The sequence below is a fragment of the Homo sapiens genome, chromosome 15, assembly GCF_000001405.40.
Source record: "Homo sapiens chromosome 15, GRCh38.p14 Primary Assembly".
In the NCBI taxonomy this organism is placed as follows: Eukaryota; Metazoa; Chordata; class Mammalia; order Primates; family Hominidae; genus Homo; species Homo sapiens.
Genome location: NC_000015.10, coordinates 78,104,365 through 78,131,852, shown reverse-complemented (window position 1 = coordinate 78,131,852; position 27,488 = coordinate 78,104,365). Strand labels below are relative to the sequence as shown.

Genomic DNA, 27,488 nt, shown 5'->3' with positions numbered 1-27,488 from the left:
AGGGACAGGGCCCGGGTAAGGGCTTGACCAAGGTCGCGACGCGAGACGGTGGCGGAGCCCGGCCCCAGCTAGATCCACGCACTCACAGTCCTCGCTGCCGCCCCCGCCCCAGGTCAAGGGGCGCCACTCGCCCCACTGCCCGCCTCGAGAGGGTTTTTTCCCAGGCCCCGCACCCTCACGCCGTGCGACCTGGACTCCCACGGCGGGACCCGGGCTCACACCTCTTCCTGCTGCGGGGCGGAGTCGCCGCCGCTCCGGGTCTTTGTCCCCGCCTCCGAGACCCCCGCGCGCCCCCAGCACTTCCGGCCGCGGGAGCCAAGGGTTCGTGCCGGGCAGCGTCTCCCGGGGCCAGGTCGCCTCCTGCCGGGACCCGGGCGCGCTGCAGCCGCGGAGCCGGGTGCCCCGCCCTCTTCCCGCCGGCGGCGGAGTCGCTGCCGCTCCGGGTTCCCGTCCCCGCCTCCGAGACCCCCGCGCGCCTCCTCCAGGCGAGCTGCGGGGCGGGAAGGGTCCGGCCACCGTGGGCCGCTGCCAGCCGCGGGGCTGCCGAGGGCCGCGGGCACGGGGCGCTGGCTCCGGGTCTGGCGGCCGCTGATGGGAGTCGGAGCCCGGGCGGGCGAGCGGCGGCGCGGCGGCCACCATGGGGAACAAGCAGACCATCTTCACCGAAGAGCAGCTAGACAACTACCAGGTGAGCTCGGCGCGCCCGGCCCCCAACACAGGCCCCGCCGCCCCGCCGCCCCTCCCTTTTCTCGGTCGCTGGCCGAGGCCTCCCGAGAGCCAGCTCTCCCAGGTTCAAACCCTGCCTCTGCCTTCAGCTCGACGCGTGACCTTGGGCCGGTGACTTCCCCTCGCCGTGCCTCAGTTTCCCCACCGGTGGAATAAGAGCTCTTTCCAGTTGGAAGAACCTCTCAGGCGCGCCTCTCTCCAGCTACTCTCGCCCTAGGCAGGACCCGAACCCCTCTCCAGCCACCCATTCCAGCGCCCATCTGGCCCGGAGAGGGAGTCAGTAAACTAGGCTGGACGGAGGACCGCCCTCCCCGCTCCCTGCCCCCCAGCCCCAGGAAGGAGCCCAGGAGAGCGAGTCTCTGTAAAGCAGAAATGAGAGCTGGCGTCCTGTCTGGTCTAGGAGTGGGGTGCATCAGTCCCCACATGCAGTCTTCCCTTGGGACTGTCTTGTTTATCGGCTGGGGTTCGCTCCTTCTGACCCCAGCATGGAGATAACTGGAGCAAGAACGCAAGCCCGGTAGCAGCCTTCCAGGGCCACCTCTCCCAGCTCCCTTAGGCCCTCAGTAGCCACCTCCTTAGACCTTTCTAGGTTTTCCTGCCTCCAGAGCCAGCTTTCCAGATCTGGAATCCCAATACCGTCCCACCCAGGTAAAAACTTCGCTGTGGTTGCAGGATGAAGCCCAACCCCTTGGCTTACCCGGAGCCCTGGCCAATTGCTCAGCTTATCTCTGCAGCCTCAGTCTCCCCAGGTCCCTTCCCTGCCCTCTGCATGGCAGCCGCCTTAAAACCATTTGCAGTTGCTCCAGCTCACCAGGCTCATTCCTCCCTCCCTCTCTCCCTCTGCCCATGCCATTTCCTGGGCCTGGATGCCTTTCCCCCCTCCAGAGGATCTCTTTCACCCTTCAAGTCCCACATCTGATGCCTCTCCCCTGACTCCCCAGGCGGAGGGGGCAGGATTGTGTTGTGGCCTGTGTAACTGGGCAGGAGGAACACCAACAGGGTCTCCATAGGCACTTGTTGCCTTCATCAGTGCTTACTTTGGCTGTGAAGGAAAGCAGGTGTGAAGTGTGGGTCCTCTGATGTGGGTGAAGGTAAAACAAAGGCCCCTTCTCCTCCTAGAAGCCCTAGTTGTCAGTAATGGATTTCTCAGCTCCCCAGGTGAGGCCCTGGGAAGGAAGAGGGGAGACGCATTTATGGAGCACCTGCTGTGTACCAGGCACAGTAATTGATGCCCTCTACGCATCAACTCACTTGATCATCACAGTGAGGTGGATTATTAGCCCATTTTACAGACGTGTAAACAGAGGCTGAGGAGCCATTCAGGGCTCACACAGGATTTCGAATCTTGACTCCTAGGCTCACTTCTTTAGTTGGGAGTGGGCTGGGCTGGGCCATGTGTGCTTTTTGTTCCCAAGGCACTCAGTCTCAGACACTCAGAGACAGACTCTCACCTCCAGTGTGTGGCCCTTGTGATAGAGGCAGGTGGTGGAGTGTGTTCTAGGGAAGGGCACTAGTGGGCAGTGGGAGGCCAGCAGGGAAGGGGGACAAAGTCCAGAAACGATACAGCACTTGAGCAGGCCTTGGGAAGATAGGTCGGGTTTTGCCCAGTGGGGCCCAGAGGAGGCATTCCAGGTGGAGGGGACAGCGTGGATAAAGGCTTGGGAGTGGGCAGGGGCAAGCAGGCAAGCCATGCTCAGAAGTGAGGAGTAGCTTCATGGGGGTGGGGAGCCCAGGTTCCCACTCCAACCAGCCTGGCATTGGGTTACTCATCGGAGCCAGTCCCAGTGTTATGTTCTGATTCTTTGCCAGAGCCTAGCTAGACCCTGCCAGGCGGGGTGGGAGAAATGAGAGCTGTGAAACCTGAGAGCCCCACATCTCCTACCCTCTGGCTCTCCAGCCAGCCATTGCCAGCCCGGGCTGAGTGGGGGTGAGCCTGAGTTACAGCACCCTCTCCCCTAAGTGACACCTAGGGTTTCTTGGGACCTCCCAGCCTGGTAGTCTAACCTTTCCTGGGCAGGGTGCACCCTCTTGGTTCCCGGTGCCGGTGATTCCCAACATTTAAGCTTCTGTCCAGAACACTCCTCTGCATTGTACGGCCATCCCCCAGACCCCTCAAACTCCAAAACAGGGGTCACAGCCTCTCCAACACCCACTGCTGCTCCTCCAGCCATTTCAACTCTCTGCTCTCCCTCAGCCCATGTTTTCAGTTAAGAACAAGGCCTGTGACTCAGCCTCTTTTGTGGGTCACCTGGAGGTCCCCTCCTCCATCACGACAGCCAGGGCCCTGGGCTAGGCCTGCTCAGTCTCCTGCAAACTGGAGGTCTGACTGCTCCCTCCTGCGCCCCTCCTGCCCATCCCCCTCCAGCCACCCGCCCTCTTAGTTCTCTCACTCTTCCTTCATCTCTTTCTTTCTCTTCCTTTTTTTTTTTTTTGAGACGGAGTCTCGCTCGCCCTGTCACCCAGGCTGGAGTGCAGTGGTGTGATCTCGGCTCACTGCAACCTCCGCATCCCAGCTCCGCCTCCCAGGTTCAAGCAATTTTCCCTGCCTCAGCCTCCCAAGTAGCTGGGATTACAGGCACCCACCACCATGCCCATCTAATTTTTGTATTTTTAGTAAAAACAGGGTTTTGCCATGTTGGCCAGGCTGGTCTCAAACTCCTGACCTCAGGTGATCCACCTGCCTTGGCCTCCCAGAGTGTTGGGATTACAGGTGTGAGCCACCGCGCCGGGCCTCCAGCCTCATTTCTTACTCCCTTTCCCTTTGCACCCAAAGTTTTAGGCACACTGAAGGGCTTCTAGCCAAGCCCTCCCTCACCTCTGGCCCTTGTTCTCCTGCTGCTCTCCCTGCTCCTTTGCTAACCTAGTCTGGCCCATCTTTCTGTCCAGGCCAGGCCTCACCTCTTTGGGACGGGCTCCCTGACTCTCTCTCCACCAATCCATTCAGCTGGGAGTACTCAGGGAGCCTGACACATATACATCCCCAGTCCCTTGTGTGGCCACAGAATGGTTTATACTGGGCACCTCACTGTTTACACTCCAGCTTCCTTCTTGTATGGCCTCTGTCCAGGCACAAAAGAGATGTTTGGAGGATGTTGTCAAATGAATGAACAAATATTTGTTAAGGCGTGGCTCCAGGAGAGCAAAGAACTCTAGACAAAGATTCTGAAGCCCTAGATTCAAGTCAGCTGGGTAGTTGATGCTGTGGGCCTTAGCAAGCCACTGTTCCCTTCTGGGCCTAAGTGTCTCCACCTCTAAAATGGGAACTACTAACCCAGCTGTGCTCATGTCACAGGGTTCTTGTGGGGATCAACTAAGATCACTGGAGACTGACCTTGAGCCGTGTGATGGTCCCCTGGGCAGTGCTGAGGCCTGAGCTGGCAGAGCTGGATGGAGAGCCATTTCCATTAGAGCTGGGAGGGCCCATGGCTCGGCTCCTGACAGCTGGCACAGGCAGACCAGGCATGTAGGAGATGGGAGGCAGGTGGGTTACCTGGAACAAGTCACCCTTGAGTTGAGCTTTGGAGAAAGGGTTTGGACAACCTGGAGAAAGAGGAGAGGGCACTCCAGTTGGGGAATAGGGTGAATATAGGCTCGGAGGCAGAACTCAAGCCTTAACTGGGAAAACGTCTGGGCTTCTACTGTAAAAGCCCAGCCTGTCCTGTTTTCTGCTGCCAATGTTCTGAGAGCCCATCACTCCTGGGTTAGGCCCCCTCTCTCCTTCCCTCCCTTCCACTCCTCATGACCCAGACCTGACCTTTGCCGGAAGACCTGTCCCTGTGTCCCTGTGTACTGTCAGGAACCAAGCAGTGATGGGGCACTTGCTCTCCAAAAGTGTAAGAAAGGGTTCCTTCAGACATAGGGCTGTAGCTCCCAGGGCAGCTGAGGGTGTAGTGGTGGGCAGGGTGTTTGGTGACTCCAGAGAAGGGAAAGACAGCAGAGCTACCGACTCTGGGGAGATGCCTTTGGGACCTGGGTGGTGGATGGAGCTGTTGTACTCTTTCCTATCAGCTGGGGCCTATAGACTTCCTGTACCTTATCTCATTTGCTCTTCACACTGTCCCCTTCAGAGAGGCCTATTTCCACTTTACAGATGCAGAAACTGAGGCTCAGAAAGGAGAATGACTTGCCTAAGGGTCTGAAGCTAGACTAGAATTTGACCCTGACTACCAAACCTTTTCCCCTGCCACACTTCTAGGCCACCCTGAGCCCTGAGAAGCTTTTAAGAACACCTGCCATATTCACTACCTGTGCACTGCCTCCTTGGGGTGAGTCCCAGGGAAACAAGTGAACAGAAGAAAAAGTGAAACATCAGTTGATGAGCAGGTTCATGGCAGTTTTGTCAGTGATGTTAAAACCAAGAAATAGGTGTTACTAAATGTTCAGAAAGAGAAGAAAGATTAAGACTAGGCAGGGACTCTGCAGCCACTGAAATAACGTAACTGCTGTGGAAGGCATAGATGGAAAAGTCTGGTCACTCATCCCACAAGCCTGTATTAAGCACCTGCTGTGTATAAGTATAGGAATACACAGCAGACGCAGGACATGGAGTGGCTGGTGTACAGTGGTCATGGCTCTGTTTGTAGTCATAGGCAGTGGCCAAGAAGCACAGAGGATCTTTTCTTGCCTCTGCTTCCTTGCCAGTGAGGGCCCCAAGGTCTACTCCCATTAAAAAGAAAAAAAGAAGGCTATGCGTGGTAGCTCATGCCTATAATCCCGGCACTTTGGGAAGCCTAGTTGGGTGAACACCTGAGGTCAGGAGTTCGAGACCAGCCTGACCAATATGGTGAAACCCCATCTCTATACTAAGAATACAAAAATTAGCCAGGCATGGTGGCGCATGCCTGTAATCCCAGCTACTTGGAAGGCTGAGACAGGAGAATCACTTGAACCCAGGAGGCGGAGGTTGCAGTGAGCTGAGATCATGCCACTGTACTCCAGCCTGGGTGACAGAGCAAGACTCCGTCTCAAAAAAAAAAGGGGGGGGGGCAGGGGAAAGGGAAGCACAGAGGCCTAAGTTCCATTCCCAGCCCTCCTGGGCTGTGTGTGCAACTTAAGGCAAGCTACTCAACTTTGCTGAGTCTCAAGTTGCCCATCTTTAAGATAGAGAGATAATGCCCACCCCCATTGGCTAATGATAAGGATTAAGAAAAATTGGATATTTAGAGCCCCAGGTGCCAGGTGCATGGTACATCATGTACTGGTTGTGATGTGGTTTTCAGCCTGGGTTGCACGTTGGGACCACCTGAGTGGCTTTGAAAACAGCCAATGCCTGGATCCATCCTTGGGGATTTCTCTACAATTTGTCTGGGGTCTGCTGAGGGATGGGGGACACAGGTATCCTAAACAGTCCCCCAAGTGATTCTGCTCTAGAGCAGACTTCCTCACACTTCAACATGCATCAGCATCATTGGGAGGGTTTTTTAAAGTGCAGATCCCTGGACCCCACCCACAGAGTTTCTGATTCAAGAGATCTGGAGTGGAGCCTAAGAATCTACATTTTCACCAAGTTCCCAGTGAGGCTGATGCTGCTGGTCCAGGAGCCACAGCGTGAGGACCATTGATGTAGGGAGGTGTAAGTAATTGTGACAGGGAGCAGGGTTATAGGGGAAGTGTTTGCATCTTTTGTCAGGAGAACCCTTGAATCAGGACCTGGATAGTTCCTTTCCAACACATGGGATAGGAGAGAGAAGAGGGGAGGGGAAGGAGGACAGATCGGGGGGAAGAGAGCAGGAGTTGGGACCTCTCCCCATTTCCAGTTCTGCTGACTGCCTCCTCCAGGCTAGGTGGGAGAGCCCTGGCCCTTCTCACTGGGCACCTTAGACCATGGAAACGGCCCTGGGGTGGAGGGAAGTCCACATTCTGCACCATGTTTCTGGAGTTTGCTGATAAATCAGCCCACTGTGTCTCCAGCCTGTCTGTGCCTGAGGCCTGCTAAGTAGGGAGTTTTCTGTCTGTGTTGGGTGAGGAGCAGGGGGCACTGCTTCCCCAGCCTGAGCCTTTCTGGGCTCCTACAGAGGAACCACTGTCAAAAGCAAAGCTGAGACCCCCAGGAGAACCCCTCGTGTTTCCAAGAAGCCAGCATGGATCCTTAGTCTAACTCCCAGGGAGCAGCAGCTTAGAAGGACAGACTTGTTGGGCCAAATGGGGCCTGGAAATTCCCACCAGCTCTCCCCTTTTCAGCTCTCCCGAAGGCACCCAGTGGAAACCCCAGATGTTGTGTGCATCCTGCAGGCGTCCTCTCTTTGGGCCTCTTAACACGCAATCCAATTGCCCTGATGTCCAGCGGCTTCAGGTCTCATTCAGGGCAAGCCTGGCTGTTTGCAGGCCTGAGTTTCAGCCATTCACTCCTCATCAGAGCTGGCTCTGGTCAGCTTATGGCCCCAGGAGGCCCTATGGGCTCTGGGCTCTGCAGACCTAGGAGGCCTTCTTGCTTCATGCTGTAACAGTGGACAAAGGCGGAGGAGCTAAACAGCAGGGGAGGTGCACAAAAGCCCTTTACGGTTGGGCATTTTACAAAGTGCTGGGTCCTCTTCACCTCTATACTTTTCACCAAGGGCTGGCATAGTGGCCATTGTCACTGACTCCCAGTGGTTGATACTCACCTTGGGCAGGCCAAGCTGTGGATAGAGGCAGTTCATCTAAACAAAGACAGGACCCCTCCGAGATGAGTTTGTCATCTGGATGGCCCTAGGAGCCAAGTGCTGCCCCCCACCTGGAGTAATGCTTACCTGGGGATCCCCAGCAGCCCCTACCCTCACCTCTACCCCAGATGCTACCTGGTTCCCCCTGCCCACGTTTCTCCCTCCCATATCTCCCTGGCCTCTTCACTCCCTTCTCTGGGTGACCTCATCCCTTTCTGGCTTCAGACACCAAGTATATACTGATGCTTCCCCAGTCTATGTGCCTGGAACTCTCAGTCTCTGAGCCTGGGACTGCACAACCCCCCTAGCACCATGCTCAGGGCTACAGTGAGGATGGCACCCCATGCAGCTACACGAGGTGGCCCTGTGGGTCCTCATTCGGAGTTGTCTCCCAGCCACCTCCCTGTCATCCCCCAGTGTATCCCACTGGCACTCAAATCAGCCACGCATACCTGTGAGCATTCATCTTCCTCCTACATGTGTACCCTAAAGCATGCTACAGCCCCCCACCATGCACTAAGCTCCTTAGGCCTAGCCCAGGATGGATAAAGGTTTTGGGAGGCATTTTCTATACCTACTAGAGCCAGCTGTCCCCAGTGGGTGAGGGCAAGGTGGAAAGGGATAGTAGTGACTCTTCTGTCCCCAGTCCGGAGCTATCCCCTGTGAGCCCTGTGGCATCGAGGCCTCTGAGGAAGAAAGTCTGGGAGCCGCACACTGACTGTGTGTTGTGTGTTTTCCCTCAACAGGACTGCACCTTCTTCAATAAGAAGGACATCCTCAAGTAAGTGTGGCTTCTCGTTCACCCTGTTGGGACTGGGACTGGGGCCGGGGTGAGGCTGGGGCACCCCACATGGGCTGGCTGTGCTCCTGGGGCTGAGGCAGAGCATCAGCATGTATCAGGAGCCACATTCAGGTCCCCACTCGGCCACTGGGCTAGGATGGAGTTAGAGCTTCCCACTCCTCCCAGGGCCCAGATCCTCCTGCTGGGGAATGAACATCTACTTACTATGAGCTTTCAGGTGGGTAGTTTCCGGCACATTCTTATTTAATCCTCATTGTGACCTTGTAACAAGAGAATCCATTTATCCCCATTTGACAGATGGAGCTTAGCAACTTGGCTAAAGTCACAGAGCCAGGGACTCAAGACCCAGCCTCTGACTCCAGGTCCCTTGCTATTTCACTGCATCCTGGGTCCTGGTATAGCAGGGAGTCCCTGTCTGTTAGACCAGGGGTCCCTAAGGGCCCTTTGGCTCTAGCTTTGATGTTCTTCCACTCCTAGGACGTCTAAAAGTTGAGGGCATGGCCACCACCCCTGAGCTATTCATCAGGGCTCTGCTTCTTCCCAGGACAGCCCTTCTCCTTGGTGTTGATGGGGGTGGGGGTGGACCTGGATGGGAAAGATAAAGGGGATCGGCAGCCTCAGAACCCCAGGACCAGTGGGTGAGCAGGAATCACTGAATACCAAGAAAACTGCCCCACGGGCCTCACTAGGCCCCTCTGCCTGGGTGGCACTAAAAGCCAGCAAAGTCCCAGGATCACTTGCCCTGGAGATCGATGGTCAGGCTGGGACCAGAGCCCATTGCAGCTTCCCAAGAGAGCTGTGCTGCAGCTTGTCACTGCCCTAACCATTCTGCTCATTCAGGCAGTGCCTCTCGGCTTTCCTCTCTACCCAGGCTGCTATTCCAACCTGTCACCTGCATGGGCAGGGGATACCCCACTTCCACCACCTTAGAGAGTCTGAGCAAGGGGCAAAGCCTCCAGGCCTGGCATCAGTAGACCTGGCATCTGTGGCCTTGGGCAACCATTTGACCTTCCCTGAGCCTCAGTTTTCTTCTGTATAATAGGGATAGTGAAACCTACCCTCATAGCATTGCCGAGAGGCAGCAACACTGGGGTATAGTGTTTGATAAGTGGGATTTGCCCTGTAGCTTGAGAGATGTCAGGGGTGAGGTCCCCATTTCGACAGGATGGCTCTCGGTATTGGAATAACAAAGCTGTCACCCCTGGCATTCTTGTGGCACCTTTTACCTTTCAGAGTTCTTGGCATGGAGCCTCATTTGAGCCTCACAGGGAGCTTCGGGTTCCCTACCTTTGTAGATGCCAAGCCCAAGCTGCCTGTCTTCTGAGGCCCACGGCCATTTTCATTCTGGCAACAAAAGCCCCTTGCCTCGGCCTTTGCACTGGCTATCTCCACTCCCTGGAGTGTCCTTCGCCTCTCCTCTGCCCACAGCATTGCTATGCATCCTTCCAGACCCAACTCCAGAATCATCTCCTTTATAAGCACCCCCAACACCCTGCCACCCTAGTGCTATCCCAGCTGCTCTAACAGCCTGTTAGGGGCTCCTTGGGTTCCTGGACCCAGGGGCCCAGCTCCCCACCAGACTTGTGATCAGGCAGGACTAACAGGGAGCATGGCACCTGTTAGCCACCAGTGACCATATGAAGAGTGTGTGGGTGAAAGACAGGTAGGATTGGCTGAGGGAGAACATTCCAGGCTGGGGAGCAGCAGAGGTGAGACACAGGCCAGCTTCTCCTGCTCCCACTCCCACCCCCATCCTCCCGTGGTCTCATTGACAGCAGCAAGATTGCCTGTGTGGGGAAGAGGAGAGAGGAGCTTGAAGGCCAGTCCGGGAATCCGATCCAATATGATGGGCCTTTGGTGGTTGTTTTAGTCCATTCTCATGCTGCTATAAAGAACTGCCTGAGACTGGGTAATTTATAAAGGAAAGAGGTTTAATTGATTCATGGCTCCACATGGCTGGGGAGGCCTCAGGAAACTTACAATCATGGCAGAAGGGGAGGCAAACACATCCTTCCTCACATGGCGGCAGGAAAGAGAAGTGCTGGGCAAAGGGGGAGAAGCCCCTTATAAAACCATCAGATCTCGTGAGAACTCACTATCATGAGAACAGCCTCGGGGTAACTGCCCCCATGATTCAATTACCTCCCACCAGGTCCCTCCCATGACACGTAGGGATTATGGGAACTACAATTCAAGATGAGATTTGGGTAGGGACACAGCCAAACCATATCAGGGGTATCCCTGGCCCCTTGGAAAATGAGGGGCTCCAGGCAGGTGAGAGGGCTTGAGGAGAGGCGTCCTGGCTCCCCACAGCCCTGGCCTGCACCCCTCTGCACGCATCAGGACCCTAGGCTCTGTAATTCAACACCAGAGCAAAACCCAAGCCTGAGGCCCCGTCTGCAGCATGGGGATGACATTGCTTGCAGGAGCTGTTTTCTCACAGGCCCCTGTGTCTGGGAGGGCTGGGTGATGGTGTTATTAAACATGAAAAGAGCTACCTGGAGTTTGCTGCCCACCTGTCCACCCTCAGGGAAGGGTAGTTAAGACAAGACAGATTCGGGATTGCCTGTCCCTAGAGGGAACAGGCATGGCCATGATGGCTCAATTCCAGTTTCACCCCCCTTCGCTTTTCTCCAGCCTTCTCTGTGGAGAGGCCAGCATGACTGACTGCCCCTCCAGGAGAGCCCTCTCCACTGTTCACATCTCAGGTCCGGGTGACAAAACTGAGGCCTGGAGCCCAGAGAGGGCAAAGTCAGCTGCAGAGCCAGGCTATCCAGCCCCAGGCCATGCTCATCTTCCCTGCTCCCAAGGGCCTTTCAGGGATGCTACTCCCCACCCCCACCAGGATGGTTTTCTTGGTAAGCTGCTCCCTGCGTACTGACCAGATGGCTAGGAGGAAACTTGAGCAGGAGGTTTTTCTTTGCAGGTTGGGGCCCAGCTCTGTGGCAACTTTGGGGCAGTGATACCGAGTCACAGATAGCCCGCCTCCAATTCTCCTTCCCTCTGCCCTGCCCCCACCCAGGTAGATCCGATTGCTCCCCAGGACACAGCTCCTGCATTCCCACATTGAGGCCGAGTGGGCAGCCCACCCTATTCAGTCACCTTGCTTTTTATAGGTAAGAGCTTAGCACTTCAACTTCCCTTGTGCCCTAATTAGGCTGTGCTCTTTAATCAGCGGGACAGTAGTCCTTGTCCCCTTGGTACACAGAGAGGCCCACCCAGCCAGCACTCCAAGGTATTTGCCTACTTGTTATTTTATTGTTTATTTTCTCAACCTTTTAAAAACTTTGTGTAACCTATTTTAATTACTTACTACACATATACATAATGATTGTAGAAAAATTAGAAAATGAAGCCAGTCAAGAGAAGACAAAAAAAATTACCTGTAAGCCTATGACCCAGAAATAAGGCTGTTAATCTTTTGGTATATATTATGCCAGTGTTTTTCTTTTGTATGTGTTTATCAAAAAGTCAGATTGTGGTCGGGTACGTTGGCTCACACCTGTAATCCTAGCACTTTGAGAGGCCGAGGCCGGTGGATTACATGAACTCAGGGGTTTGTGACCAGTCTGGCCAACATGGTGAGACCCCTGTCTCTAAAAAAAAAATACAGAAATTAGCCAGGTCTGGTGGTGTGTGCCTGTAGTCCCAGCTCCTTGGGAGGCTGAGGTGGGAGAAGTGCTGGAGCCCAGGAGGTTGAGACCGCAGTGAGTTGAGATTGCACCACTGCACACCAGCCTGGGCAACAGAGCAAGACTCTGACTCAAAAAAAAAAAAAGGCAGATGGTATTGTTTTGTAATATGCTTAAAATTGGCCAGGCGCAGTGGCTCACTCCTTTAATCTCAGCACTTTGGGAGGCTGAGGCGGGTGGATCATGAGGTCAGGAGTTCAAGACCAGCCTGGCCAACATGGTGAAACCCCAACTCTACTGAAAATACAAAAATTAGCTGGGCATGGTGGTGTGTTCCTGTAGTCCCAGCTACTCAGGAGGCTGAGGCAGGAGAATTGCTTGAACCGGGACCCAGGAGGCGGAGGTTGCAGTGAGCCGAGATCATGCCACTTCACTCCAGCCTGGGCTACAAAGCGAGACTCCATCTCAAAAAAAAAAAAGTATATATATGCTTAAAATTGCTTTTCCTTAGGCAAATTGTAAAAGTAGATAAGAAAGCTAAAGAAAACAGTATGATGGATCCTCAAACACTTACAAATAAAATCACCACATGATCCAGCAATTCTACTTCTGGGTATATACCCAAAAGAATTGAAAGCAGAGTCTTGAGATGTTTGTACACCCACAATCATAGCAGCATTATTCACAAAAGGTGGAAGCAATCCATCAGCAAATGAATAGATGAACCAAACACGGTATAGACAGACAATAAAACACTATTCAACCTGCAAAAGGAAGGAGAGTCTGACCCATGCTACAACATGGATGGACCTTAAGGACATTATGCACAGTGAAATAAGCAGTCACAAAATGACATATACGATTCCACTTACATGAGGTACCTAGAGTAGTCAAATTCTTTTTTTTTTTTTTTTAAAGTCTGTGTCTCGCTGCAATCTCTGCCTCCCAGGTTCAAGCAATTCTCCTGCCTCAGCCACCCAATTAGCTGGGATTACAGGCGTGTACCAACACGCTCGGCTAATTTTTGTATTTTTAGTAGAGATGGGGTTCACCTTGTTGGCCAAGCTGATCTCGAACTCCTGACCTCAAATGATCCACCCGCTTCTGCCTCCCAAAGTGCTAGGATTACAGGCATGAGCCACCAGGCCTAGCCAAGTAGTCAAATTCTTAGAAACAGAAAGTAGAATAGTGGTTGCCAGGGGCTGGGAGGAGGGGGAATGGGAACTTATTGATTAGTACAGAGTTTCAGTTTTGGAAGATGGAGAGAGTTCTGGAGGTGGATCAGTGGTGGTGATGGTTGCATAATAATGTGAACATATTTAATATGCCACTGAACTGTACCCATCAAAATGGTTAAGATGGTACACTTTATGGCATGTGCATTTTACCACAATTTAGAAAAACTAATAATTAAGATGGTAAATTTTCTGTTATTTTATCACAATTTTTTTTTTTTTTTTTTTGAGACGGAGTCTGGCTCTGTCACCCAGGCTGGAGTGCAATGGCGCGATCTCGGCTCACTGCAACCTCTGCCTCCTGGGTTCAAGCAATTCTCCTGCCTCAGCCTCCTGAGTAGCTGGGGTTATAGGCACGCGCCACCAGGCCAGGCTGTTTTTTGTATTTTAGTAGAGACGGGTTTCACCATGTTGGTCAGGCTGGTCTCAAACTCCTGACCTCATGATCTGCCCGCCTTGGGCTTCCAAAGTGCTGGGATTACAGGCGTGAGCCACTGCCCAGCCATTTATCACAATTTTTAAAGTTAAAAAAAGATAAGAAAAAAGATCTTACTGTCCCCCTACTACCCAAGATAATCACTAACATTTTAGTGACCAGCCTTCCTCTTAGTCTTTCTTTTTGTGAGTATATAAATATATACAAGCTTTTTTAAAAAAAATGGGATTATACTGTACCTTCTGCTTTTTTCATTTAACATCTTGCGAACAACTTTCAATATCATTAGATATTCTGATACAATATTTTAAATGGCTGCATTTAATGGATATTTCTTAATTTGTATAGTTGAACATTTAGATTTCCAGCTTTTCACGATTTTAATTTGTACTTCAGTGAATATTCTTGTGGTACCATTCACATAACTGCACATATATGGGTATTTCCAACAAATTTCCTGATCAAAGATAATGGATATTTTTAAGACTTTTGCTTTTTCCTCCCACTGCTGTTATATGCTTTTTGTCTTCTGACCCCAGATCATTCAGTGAATAACCCAAGAGTCTGAAGCTCAGCTGCCTGTCAGGGGGGCCAGCATGCACTGTAAATAAATGAAGCTGTCTAGTCGGGTGGGAACTCTTTAGAACGGACACCTGCAGAAATAGCTGCTCCTTAGCCCCAGCTAGTTGTTGCCTTGGGGGAATTCAGACCATCTTGATTAAGAAACCCAGGTTTATAGTGTAAGATCTTTCAATCTGTATATGGTGGCAGCAAAATTCTAAATTTATTATTTCGACGTAATTTAATTATTTTAAAATGCTATATGGAAACTAGGCATGAATGGTGGATTGCTGGTTTGTGACTTTCAGAGGAATTAATCTTTTCCCCATTGATTTCAAATGCTGTGTCATGGGCTCATTCTCATTTACATTGGGATCTACCACTTCTACTAGTCTGCCTTGTAAATGCCAATGTCTGTTTCATACATTGTCCTTATTATAGCTTTAAACTGTTTTAATACCTGATAGGGAAAAATGTTTCCCCAGTTTCTCTTTTTTTTCAGGGTTCCCCTGCAACACTCCTACATTTATTCTTTTAAACAAACTTTTTTTTTTTTTTTTTTTTTTTTTTTTTGCCAGTAGCTTGAAGAAACACTTAACCAAACACACTTTTGAATTGGGCTGGCTAGATCCCAAATAGATCATTTGCAGGTTTTGATTAGGGTCATATTCATTTTATAGAAAAATGAACAGATCATCGTCATCATTACAGCATTAAGTCTTTCCGATCAGGAATGCACAATAGTTATCTAAGTACCTAAAATATTTTTATATCTTTTGTTAAACTTTCATGGTTTTTTTGATACTTCAAAATTAGTACATTTTATACCAATTTTATACTTAGTTGTGTTTTTTTTTTTGGTTCTTTTAAATTGTGAATTCATTTTTTTTAATTAAAAAAAATTATAGAAACAGTCTCACTGTGTTGCCCAGGCTGGTCTCAAACTCCTGGCCTCAAGCAATCCTTTCCCCTTGGCCTCCCAAAGCACTGGGATTACAGGCATGAGCCACTGCACTCAGCCAAATCCTACTTTTGAAAAGGCTAATGTTAATACATAATAGAAAAACTATTGTGTAGAAAGGCTTCTGAACTCTTTCTATTTCAAATAGTCTTTAAGCTAATTATTTTTGGTTTTCCAGTAAATGGTAACTTGCCTCCTCTCCAGTATTTAAGTGTACTATTTTACTGTCTTAACTAATTACATTCCTCTCTCAGTATCTGTGGGGGATAGGTTCTAGGACCTCCCAAGGATACCAAAAACTGCAAATGCTTAAGTCCCTATATAAAATGGCATATTATTTGCATATAACCTTATCCACTTTGCACATCCTTCTGTATAATTTTTTTTTTTTTTTGTCAGGCAGGATCTCTGTCGCCCAGTCTGGAGTGCAGTGGTGCGATCATGGCTCACTGCAGCCTCAAACTCCTGGGCTCAAGTGGTCCTCCCACCTCTGCCTCCCAAGTAGCTGGGACTATAGGCACATACCACCATGCCTGACTAATTTATATATATATATTTTTTGTAGAGACAAGGGTGACACTGTTTTGCCCACGCTGGTCTCAAAACTCCTAGGCTCAAGTGATTGGCTCGCCTCGGCCTCCCAAAGTGCTGAGATTGCAGGTGTAAGCCACCGTGCCCAGCCCCTCCTATATACTTTAAATCGGCACCTCCTGTATACTTTAAATCATTACTACATTACTTATAACACCTAATACAATGTAAATGCTGTGTAAAGAGTTGCTATACTGTATTGTTTAAGGAATAATGACAAGAAAAAAAATCTATACATGTTTAGCGTAGATGCAATTTTTTTTTTCCAAATATTTTCTGTCTTCAGTTGACTCACATATGCAGAACTCATGGACCTGGATGGCGAATAGTACATTGATTAGTGCTCCTGGGGAGAAATGTTATATAATAATGGTGATTATAGGCATCCCACATTGATGGGTATATCCCCAGTATATACAAAAATTAGCCGGGTGTGGTGGCGGGCGCCTGTAGTCCCAGCTACTCAGGAGGTTGAGGCAGGAAAATTGCTTGAACCCAGGAGGCGGAGGCTGCAGTGAGCTGAGATTGAGCCACTGCACTCCAGCCTGGGTGACAGTGCAAGACTCAAAAAAAAAAAAAAAAAAAAAAAAAGAGAAGGAGATACCCTTTTGTTTCTGCTCCTAAGCAGAAACTCCTTTTGTTTCTGTTTTACTAAGAATTTTAAGTTTTTTTAATTGACAAAACAACATATACTTTAAAATACTTTTGACCAGGTGCGGTGGCTCATGCTTGTAATCTCAGCACTTTGAGAGGATGATGTGGTGGATCACTTGAGGTCAGGAGTTCGAGACCAGCCTGGCCAGCATGACGAAACCCCATCTCTACTAAAAATATAAAAAAATCAGCCGAGTGTGGTCGCATGCCCCTGTAATTCCAGCTACTTGGGAGGCCGAGGCATGAGAAAATCACTTGAACCCTGGAGGCAGAGGTTGCAGTGAGCCAAGATTGCGCCACTGCACTCCAGCCTGGGCGAAAGAGCGAGACTCTGTCTCAAAAAATAAATAAATAAATAAATAATTACTTCTAAAATTTCAAATAATTGAGAAGTAGGTGAAATAACAAGTAAAAGTTAGCCTCCTTCTTTTCACATTTCTCTACTCCCACCTCCCAGGGACTATCAGTGTAAACATGTAGTATATAACTTCTCAGATATTTTTCTGTATTCACATATACAGTCATAAATGCATCTATCAAATTGGTCAAAATGTTTTTTGCTTAATATGATTTGTAGCCACAGATTTCCAAATATTGAACTATCTTTGCATTCTGGAATAAATCCTACATGATCCTAACATATTATTCTTTTAAAGTCTTAGATTTGATTTACCAGTATGCTATTTTTTTCTTTCTTTACTTATCTTTTTTTTTTTTAGAGACAGGGTCTCACTCTGTTGCCCAGGCTAGAGATCCTCCTACTTTAGCCTCCTGAGTAGCTAGGACTACTGATGCATATCACCACATCCACCTAATTTTTAATTTTTTTTTTTTTTTTGTAGAGACATGGTCTCACTACATTGCTCAGGCTGGTCTCAAGCTCCTGGCCTCATGCAATTCTCTCACTTTGGCCTCCCAAAGCACATTTAGATTACAGTCATGAGCCACTGTGCCTGGCCCCCAGTATGTTATTTTATAAGACTTTTTCATCTATCTATGCAAGTGCCATTGGTCCATTCTGGATGCTACATATTAGGTTCTTGTATCAGGGTTCTTGTTAACTTTGTAAAATAAAGTGAGAGTTTTCACATTTCTTGCCTCATACTCGGGGGCAGTTCAAGTAGCGTAAGTATGGTTTCTGGTCCTGGATGTTACAGTAGGACTAATATATAACTCTTCTTGAATTCAGTGCCCTTTATTGGGGGAGAGGTGACAGAGATGTGGTTCTTTGACAATGCTTAGAGTTTCTTTCACAGTGATTTGGGTTTTCAAATTCTCCTTGGATTTTTCTTTAAAGAAAAATTCCAATGTGATTTTAGTTACTGTTTTAGAACAGATCTGTGTCCCAGGGTAGAAGCTGGCCTTCCCACCCCAGAGGATACCTCCTCAACCCTGCCAAGCACCCATAGCCTCTCTCCCTAGTCCACCCCTTCCAGGGAGCCTCTGACGTGGCAGGCAGCATGCTAAAAGCTGCCAGTTGAAGGCCAGTGGTTTTATGAACATCCAGGGGTGAGAACAGTAGAATAGCCCCTGCTTTACTGATAGAGAAACTTATCCTTCAGTGGATTAACCCACTTACCCACACTGCTAATGAGAGGTGTAGGCAGGGCTCCAACCTCAGCCTGACTTCATGCTCCTGCTGCAGCCATCCCACAAAACTTCAGAGGTGTAGGCCAACCCCTAGAAACACTCCAACATCACACTGCCACATATGAGGTGGGGTCAAGGTCAAGTGGGAAATGTAGCAGTTGGAAGCACAATGGATATGTCAAAGTACCAGATGCATGAATTATGAAAGAAGATGCCTTGTAATCCCAGCACTTTGGGAGGCCGAGGTGGGCGGATCATGAGGTCAGGAGATTGAGACCATCCTGGCTAACACGGTGAAACCCCATCTCTACTAAAAGTACAAAAAATGTGCCGGGCATTGTGGCAGGCGCCTGTAGTCCCAGCTACTCAGGAGGCTGAGGCAGGAGAATGGCCTGAACCCGGGAGGCGGAGCTTGCAGTGAGCCGAGATCGCGCCACTGTACTCTAGCCTGGGCGACAGAGCGAGACTCCGTCTCAAAAAAAAAAAAGAAAGAAAGAAAGAAAGAAGATGCATGAATTTTGAAACAAGTGGTTGTTCCTTATTTGGGGACAGTGTAAAAAAAAAAAAGTAGTTTTCCTCTATGCAAGAAATAGGAGCAAAGAAAGTCCTTGAGTGCCCTCTTGTGGAGAGTCTCAGCTTGATCCCACCGCCCTGGCATTTGCTGAGCCTCCTCCCACCCAAAGTACAAGTTTAGGGGTTTTCCCCTCCTGCTCTGTCTCCAAGTCATGGCACATCCTTGTAATTTCAGACCCTTTTATAGGAATGTGCGACTGGCAAAGTGGGCATGTGGCATTTTACTGTTCATTTGCCCTGGACAGGCTCTGAACCAGCAGATGATGTGCTTACCAGGGCTTGACTTGCAGGGAGGAGCCAAGTGGTTGGTGTCCAGAGGTCCTGGGTTCAAGTCCTGTTCCCACTGCTCATTGGCTGTGTAGGATGGGGAAGACACTTGATTCTTGAGCCTCAGTTTTCCCTACCTGAAAATGGGAGACTAATATCTACCTCTCAGGGTGATTTGGGGATTAAAATAAGTAAAGCAATCCACAGAGAAGATTAGTTCAGGGCCTGGCACAGAGTAAGCACTTGCTAAACGATAGCTGGTGTTATTATCTGTTTGAGCTGGGTAAGTAGTCAGGTGCCTTGCTAAGGACAGTAGGCAGCAGGACCACAAGAACTGGTAGAACCCAAGGAAGGTTGGGTGGCTGTGCTGAATGGCTTGATAAAGGTGGGCCTGGGGTGTGTCACAGGGTCAAGCCACTTAAAAGGAGACCTGGGCTGATCTGGCTTTGGGGGTGGCAGGGCCGGCCCAAGCCTGGGAGATACAGGGTCATACCTAATCCATTCACCAGCAGCCTAGGACATCACTTTAGGCAGGTTACCTACCTCAGCCCACAGTCAATGCCCCTTACACTTGTCCCACCCATGGCAGCACTTAATGGACACAATTTTTGTTTTTAGAGGCAGGGTCTCGCTCTGTTGCCCAGGCTGGAATGCAGTGGGGCAATCATAGCTCACTGCAGCCTCCAACTCCTGGGCTCAAGCTCAAGTGATCCTCCAGCCTCAGCCTCCCAAGTAGCTATGACTGAGCCACGATATCCAGCTAATTTTTTTTTCATTTTTGTAGAGACAGGGTCTTGCTGTGTTGCCTAGGCTGGTCTCAAACTCTGGGCCTCAAGTGGTCCTCCCACCTCAGCCTCCCAAAACACTGGGTTTACAGGCATAGGCCACCACATGCAGCTCACAATGTCATCTAAATACAATTTGTACCTGTCTTGGGATGGGGGGCTATTCTCTGGGATGACAGGGACCTGGACAAGTGGACATAGGGCAAAGAAAGACTGAATAATGGGCAGGGGGCGGGGAGGAAGGGAGCTTCCAAGTGAGACAGTGCCAGGATGCCTTACACCTTTGAGGGTCCATGCAGCTTGTTGAGGTGGGCTTGATTTCCTGGAGGCTGGGACAGGAGCTAGGGACCTGACCCATCAGTGAGGAGGGAGGGCCAGGCCCACCAGGGTAGCAGCCTGGGTCCCGATGGCCCCCAGTTAGAGAGTTTATGGGTGACCCATTCATAGGGGCTTCCTGAGGGTGTGAGGACTGCTGAGAGCTCTCCCAGAGAGACCCAACCCTCAGGGCTTAAGTTGGGGTGGTGGGGCCACGAAGTGGGCCCAGGCTTTGATGGACCCTCAGGAGTGTAAGGGGGAAGAGTGGCTAAGAGTTTCTGCTTGGATTTCCCATCTTGGGCTCAACCCATGGCCCTTGATGCTCCCTAGTTATGTGGCCTTAGACAAATCACTCTTAACCTCTTCAGCCCTGTTTGCTGAGCAGTAAGCTGGGGTCAGGATGCATCTGTCTGCACAGTGATGTGGAGGAGGATTAAATTAGGTGATGTGTTAAGTGCTTAGCACAGTATCCTGAGCATAGAAAACCCTTATGAGAGCCCAAAGGAGAAAAAATTAAAAGATTTGGACCCAGGCCCAAGGAGTGATGGTGGTGGTGCTGATGGGGTGGGTGTGGTGGAAATAGGGAGGCCTGGACACAACCTGGTTATCAGCACAGAGGTCTGGGCAGAACTCACCTCCCTCCCAACTTCACACCCTGTGGGCAGAGCAGAGAGCCTCCCATTGGCCCCTTACCTGGTCCTGGCTGAGGATGTTCTGCAGAGGCAGAGGCCTAGGCAGGACAGCACCGGGCTGCTGGGGCTTAGGGATGGCACCCCCTCCAGCGCTTTTTCTCTGCTTTCCTCCAAGGCTGCATTCGCGATTCTATGAGCTGGCCCCCAACCTCGTCCCAATGGACTACAGGAAGAGCCCCATCGTCCACGTGCCCATGAGCCTCATCATCCAGATGCCAGAGCTCCGGGTATGTGCAGGACCTCTTGCTGGCGAGCAGGGGATCTGTGCCTCTGGACCAGCAGCAGAGGCCCCCAGGTCTAGGCTGAACCCAGCTCCACCCTTTGTGTCTGCGTGGCTCTGAGCAGATCACAGAACCTCTCTGTGCCTCAGTTTCCTCATCTGTACTCTGAATAAATAAGCTATGTGGGCTCTGTAAGGGTGCTGTACATCAGTGGCCACCCAACTGCAGGCCATGGGCTTGTGCTCATTTGCTTGTCCCTTTGTTAAGTGGCCCCAAGCCTGCTGTAGTTGGCAGACCTGTGTCTGCTTTGTTAGATAACTTTTCTGTCTCCCCGTTGTCTGGCTGTGGCTTCTCACTGAGGTCAGCATGGTGGTCATCCATAGCATCATTTCTCAGACTTTAACGTACCTGTTAAAATTTAATTTTAAACTCCCCAGGGATCTTGTCCAAATGCCAATTCAGGCTCAGTACATGTGGAGTAGAGTCAGGATTCTGCTTTTCGAGCAAGTTCCCAGGTGAGACTGATGCTGCTGATCCTCAGACCATATATATCTGAATGTTTCGTTTCATGAGTTCCTTATCCATAATATGTAAAGTGCATTCAGCATTAAGAAGGCATTTGGGGCACAACTCCCCATTGCAGTGGGACTTCGTCAGTAGCCCCTTGCCAGGCCTGGGATGTGTGGCTTGAAGGTGGAGTCAGAGTGCTATATGGCATCCACTTGGGGCCTGCACTCTGGTTGTGACCTCAGTCCTGAGAGACAATGGGCCCCAGGCTCAGCCCTGGACCAGCACCCCGTCTGGCCCAGCAAGGGGCTCAAGAGCAAGCTCAGAGGGTTGCTGGAGCAGGTGAGACACTCATGGGTAGGACCCAAGTGGTCTGTCTCTGAGCCTCCCGCACTGGCCTGGGCTGGGCACGGAATGGCGCTAGCCAAGCGCTAGCTCAGTTGGGATGGAAGGGCTGCAGGATGAGTGATTTGGGGATCTAGGAAGGCATCCGTGTACAGCTCCCTGGGAGAGGCAGCATCCAAGGTGGTCTAGGGGAGAATTCACAGGAGCAGAGTGACAGCAGACCTGGGCCTGAACTGGCTGTATGGCTCTTGCTGCTTGACTGGTCCAGTTATCTGACCCCACATCCACCTCCCACGATCCTGGCCTGACACGGCCTGAGCTGAGGGCCACCAGTGCCCTGGGCTGTCATCTTCTTCTGCTGGGGACAGAGCCCTACACATCCAGGCAGAGCCTCTGTGTGCTCTTCTGGGTAACAGGACGAATCTGTGCTTCTGCTTCTGCTTCAGATGAGGCAGTGCCTCCAGTGATAACACACTGGCTGTGCTCAGCATTTTTTTTTTTTTTTTTTTTTGGAGACATGGTCTTGCTCTGTCGCCCAGGCTGGAGTGCAGTGGGACGATCATGGCTCACTGAAGCCTCAAACTCCTGGGCTCAAGTGATTCCTCCACCTCAGTCTCCCAAATAGCGGGACTACAGGCGTGCACCACTGTCCCTGGCTGTGCCCATCTTAATGATGTGACATGACCCAGTAGAATGCTTCCTGAGCTCTTACATGTGCCGGGCCTGGTACCAACACCTTACATACTTTAGCTCATTTAATCCCATCACAACCCAATTAAGAAGGTGTTATTATTATTCCCTTTTTACAGATGGGGAAACCGAGGCTCAGAGGGATTTGGTCACTCCTCCAGGGTCACACAGGCTGTCCACAGTCTGGCTCCGGGGCCCTCCTGCTTATCCTGCACCCACAGTGATTGCTGTGTGTGTTTTCTTCAGGAGAATCCCTTCAAAGAAAGGATCGTGGCGGCGTTTTCCGAGGATGGTGAGGGGAACCTCACTTTCAACGACTTTGTGGACATGTTTTCCGTGCTCTGCGAGTCGGCTCCCCGAGAGCTCAAGGCAAACTATGCCTTCAAGATCTATGGTAACCAGGGCTAGAGGAGGGGGCCTGAATATGCGGTGGGGGAACATGTGGGGCCCTTAGGCTGTCTGGTTACTACTGGCTCCTGCCCTAGGGACACCAAGAACAGTGAAGCTGATCTGTCCTCTGAAGAGTGCCTGTCCAGTGGGGTGGCCAAGGGAGACGATCAGTCCCTGAGAGACATCTGTGAGGGTCCTGAGAACGAAGGAGGGAGGGACTCACCCATCCCAGGTCGGGTGGTTAGTGTGAGAGGGGTCCCAGGCATGACCTTTAAGCAGGGACTAGCAGAGGCTTGGACTGGAGAAGAGGGGGCTGGCAGACCTGACAGAGGGCGCAGCCCATGCAGACACAGGGAAGCGCAGAGCTTGATAAGGAGATGGGAGGAACTTGGAAGGTGGTGGGACAGGGGGCGGTATGAGTCTGGAGAGAATCTGGGGCCAGGCTGTGGGAGCCAGCCACAGAGTTTGGACCTAGTGATCCAGACACCAGGGCCACTGCAAGGTTTCCAGTGAGGAAGGGCAGCTCTGTTTTCTAGAAGGATCACTCAGCAGCTTTGAGGTGTAAAATGGAGGAGCCAGAGAGGCTGCCTAGGCCATGGTGGTAAGGCCAGGCCTGCAGGGGGGCCTCTGGAGCCCCCCCGAATACTGCCTGAGGTAGGGCCACCTGGATTCACCCCGCCCAGCTCTGCCCTCAGGCTGGCTGTCTCACCAGCCACCAGAGGGCGGCGGGCACTCATGAGCCAAGGACTCATGCTTCTCCCACAGCCACAGGGAGAAAACTTCATACCCACGAGCTCACCCCCTCTGCTGGCCTGACAGACCCATGGGGACTGGTGTCAAATCCTCAGATAGACCTCAGTTGAGATGCCTAAGGCCTAGGAAGGGGCTGGGACCCAACTTGGACCTGAAGAGTCAAGGTCAAAGCTCCTGTCCTCAGCACGTTTGATCAGACACTGGATCCCAAAGGCAGCAGGGCCTATCAGGGGCTGACATTTTGCTTTCTTTTTTCTTTTCTTTTCTTTTTTTTTTTTTTTTTTGAGACAGAGTCCCACTGTCGCCCAGGCTGGAGTGCAATCGTGTGATCTCGGCTCACTGCAACCTCTGCCTCCCGGGTTCAAGCGATTCTCTTGCCTCAGCCTCCCAAGTTCAAACGATTCTCCTGCCTCAGCCTCCTGAGTAGCTGAGATTACAGGTGCCCGCCACTACACCTGGCTAATTTTTGTAATTTTAGTAGAGATGGGGTTTCACCATGTTGGTCAGGCTGGTCTCGAACTCCCGACCTCAGGTGATCTGCCTGCCTTGGCCTCCCAAAGTGCTGTGATTACAGGTGTGAGCCACCACGCCCAGACTGACGTTTCACTTTCTAGTTATCATGTTTATTTCAGAGGACTTTGGTTTCTGTCTGTGCACCCACGTTTTGCTTGCATATTAGAAAGAAAATACCTGCCAGTCTGCCCTCCACAAACTATGCCCACATGGCTCATGTAAAAAGCTTCTCAGATTCCACCCAACATCCGCCCGGTCTTGGACCCCATAGCATTGCTCCTGGGACGGGCTGCTGTCTGCCCAAGACAGGGGCGTGCAGATCGCATGGACCGGGTGGGCACAGGAATACATGGAAGAACTGTGGCTTCCTTGCTGCTCTAGGCTGGGGGTGGAGTGGGGAGAGGCAGCCAGGGCCCTCCTAGTCTGGCGCTGGGGAGGCCTGGGGCCTCATTTGCAACAATGATCATCTCACTTCTGAGCCTCAGTTTACTCAGGTTAAATGGCCACAGGAATTCAGCCAGCCAGCCAGCAAATCTTTCCAGAGATTTGCTATGTCCCATGCCATGGGCAGAGATGAATACTCCCTGACGCATACCCTAGAGTTGTGCCCAGGCCTCTGCAGAGATAGACAGGGCAGAGTCACCCCAAGAGCTTGGGCTCTAGGGTCCAACAATGACCGGGATGTGACCTCAGGCAGGTACCTCTCCTTTTCACCTCCCTGTTTCTTTTTTTATTTTTGAGATAGAGTCTCGCTCTGTCAACGAGGCTGGAGTGCAGTGGTGCGATCTCAGCTCACTGCAAGCTCCGCCTCCTGGGTTCACGCCATTCTCCTGCTTCAGCCTCCTGAGTAGCTGGGACTACAGGCGTCCACCACCACGCCCGGCTAATTTTTTTTTTTTTGTATTTTTAGTAGAGACGGGGTTTCACCGTGTTAGCCAGGATGGTCTCAATCTCCTGGCCTCGTGATCCACCCACCTCGGACTCGCAAAGTGCTGGGATTACAGGCGTGAACCACCGCGCCTGGCCACCTCTCTGTTTCTTCATGTGTATAGTGGAGATTCAATTGTGCCTGCCTCATAGTTTTGTTTTGAAAATTAAATGAGAAAGAGCATATAATGCTCACATGATGGGTCTTTGTCACTACCATTAATGTCAGAGTTTGCCAATGGGCAACAGAAGCTCATTTGCGGGGAAGAGGACCCTTATCGCTAGAAAGCCCCGCCACTGGGAGGTGATGTGTGAGCCAAAATTTGAAGGATGACCAGGAGTTTGCTGGGAAGGGACCCCAGGCAGAAGAAACAGCACATGCGCAGATCTGGTAGTTGGGCTCAAAATGTAAGAAGAGAGAGTTCACTTTGATGTGGCCAGGCATGGCTCGGTCCTCTGAACCATTTTGCTGTGCTTTGGGGCAGTGGTAGTGCCTTTTGCTGGGTAGAATCAAACCATGTTCCCTGCTCTGTGTGCACAAAGGCCAGGCACAGGCCCCTCTCTAAGGGTCTTTTGATTTTGAGTCTCCTGACCCACCGTGTCTTCTGGTCACACACCACTGAGGCAACGGGGTGCAGTTTAGAAAACATGGGTCTTAGAGTCCCATAGGCCCTAGTCAGAATCCCTGCTCCATCTCCGAGTGGCTCTCCCACCTTGATTCAATCGCATGGCCTTTTTGGGCCTTAGTTTCCTTAGCTCTAGAAGTCTAAAGGGAACACTGGGTCCACTGTGGGCTAAGGCCAGGAAGGGCTATCTGGCCTAAGCCTGAAGTTCTCAGGAAACCTCAGATTTGGACTTTTGACCTGCTTCAGGATGTGGTTTAGTCATTGTGGGGTTGTTGTTGGTGGTGGATGTGGGTGTTTAAGCGATGCCTGGTGGGTAAGCCCTCTTGGGGGCAGGGATCCAGTATCCCAAGAGTGTGCATGGAGATGCTCTGGGGACATCAGAAGCTGGTGGAGGTAGTGGGGCCAGCTAGGAGGAAGAGCTATAGTGTAGGGGTCCCTGGGTGCACGCAGCCTGGACTTGAACATGTCCAACCCCTGCCCTACAGACTTCAACACTGACAACTTCATCTGCAAGGAGGACCTGGAGCTGACGCTGGCCCGGCTCACTAAGTCAGAGCTGGATGAGGAGGAGGTGGTGCTTGTGTGCGACAAGGTCATTGAGGAGGCTGACTTGGACGGTGACGGCAAGCTGGGCTTTGCTGACTTCGAGGACATGATTGCCAAGGCCCCTGACTTCCTCAGGTGCTGCCACTACAGGGGCCGGGCTTGGGCAGGGCAGAGCAGGGCAGGCCGGGATGTTGGGGCTGAGGCCCCTATCACTCGCTATTTGTGAGCAGTGGTGTGCGGCCAGGAAGCAGGAGGTCACGTTCAAGCCACCCTTGCCCTAGACGTGTGACTGGCCTTTGTCCCCTGCAGGGGGAAGGTTGAAGACCTGGGGGCCCCTTCAGTGATAAGTGGGGGCAGAACTCCCTGGGCACCGCTGTTCCTCCGTCTTCCCCCAGTGTTGATTACCTGCATCCACTATGCAGGGTTCCCTAATGAGGCACTGTCCAGCATGGGGCTGGGGCCTGCTGTGCTTTTCCCTGAGGAGCCTTTACCTGCCCGACCCAGGGCCTCTCACCCTCTCTTGCCCTTTCTCTCTTTCTAGCACTTTCCACATCCGGATCTGAGGACACTGCCGAGGCTGTAGGGGCCTAGAAGTCCACCATCCTGCCCTGCAGTCACATGGGTGTGGCCTCCAAGCTCCCCAGGAAAGCAGTGGCAGCCTCTGGGGTTTACACCACAAATATATCCTGTGGCCCTTTCAGCAAAAAAAAAACCTTAACCAGGAAGGGGGCCTGTGAAGGTTAGGACCCTTCCCACAGCCCCGCTGTGGTCCAGCCCCGGGACCCATGGCCTCTCTCCAGGCCCTCCGCACCCCGCCCCATGCCCCAGTCCTTTCCTACTCCAGAAATGCTCCCCACCCCCCCAAAGAGGGAAAAGCAGATAACCCAACAGGAGGTGGTGGGGTCTGACGTGTCCAAGTGCTGGCAGACACCCTGGTCACCCAGGACAGAGCGGAAAAAAAAAAAAGAGGTCAGGGTTTTAACGAGCTATGCAATCTTTTTCCAAAACCCAAGGTTGGGCTGCTTCCCACCCCTGCCTGTTCCCCTTCTCCCGGCCTCCTTCACAATGTGAAGCTGTGGGTGCAGTGGGCCCAAGGGCTCTTGCTCCTGTCTCTGCCTCTGGGTCATGAGTACCACCCTGCCTGCCTCCCCAACACCGTGGAATCCTCACTGGTGTGCTGTCCACAGATTTGTGAACTCCTGGTAGTAAAACACTTTTGCATCCCTTTGCTCTCCATGTATGCTAATGTTAGGAAATGTTTGAGGGTACCTTTGCTTCTGATCCTTGAAATCCCACCATTGGTGTCTCACCTCTCGGCATTAGGCAGTGCCTCCTGCTTTAGGCACTAACTTTGATTTCAGTGCGTGTGCCATCGGGAGGAAAACACATTCATGCCCCGAACCTTCCGTGAATTCCCTGACAGTATCTCTGGTTAACATTTGGGAGTGCTAACCACTCAGGCACAGGGACAGTTGCTTCAGTCTCAATCCTTAAACCCCCAAGGAGGGA

At 51.5% G+C, this 27,488-nt stretch overlaps 1 protein-coding gene across 8 annotated transcripts, besides 2 other annotated features; it reads left to right on the top strand.

Annotated features, from left to right (window-relative positions):
• Nucleotides 184–703: a silencer, noted in NCBI's record as "silent region_6705". NCBI's record gives its function as "represses an Ori minimal core promoter by ATAC-STARR-seq in GM12878 lymphoblastoid cells {active_cell/tissue: GM12878}" and the evidence as "EXISTENCE:reporter gene assay evidence [ECO:0000049][PMID:35858748]".
• CIB2 (calcium and integrin binding family member 2) lies at nt 318–27,247 on the top strand. Of its 8 annotated transcripts, NM_006383.4 has the most exons (6): nt 408–688; nt 8,114–8,148; nt 20,577–20,688; nt 22,471–22,618; nt 25,919–26,114; nt 26,521–27,247. In NM_006383.4, the coding sequence occupies exons 1-6, from the start codon at nt 638–640 to the stop codon at nt 26,540–26,542; spliced, it is 564 nt and encodes a 187-aa protein (NP_006374.1). In that variant the 5' UTR covers nt 408–637; the 3' UTR covers nt 26,543–27,247. The 8 variants fall into 8 exon arrangements, 7 of the variants coding, with proteins under 7 accessions (XP_005254183.1, XP_047288066.1, NP_006374.1 ...); NR_125435.2 differs by lacking the exon at nt 20,577–20,688 and having other exon boundaries at nt 318–688; XM_005254126.4 differs by lacking the exon at nt 26,521–27,247 and having other exon boundaries at nt 318–688; nt 25,919–26,514.
• Nucleotides 18,306–18,395: an enhancer, noted in NCBI's record as "active region_9910". NCBI's record gives its function as "activates an Ori minimal core promoter by ATAC-STARR-seq in GM12878 lymphoblastoid cells {active_cell/tissue: GM12878}" and the evidence as "EXISTENCE:reporter gene assay evidence [ECO:0000049][PMID:35858748]".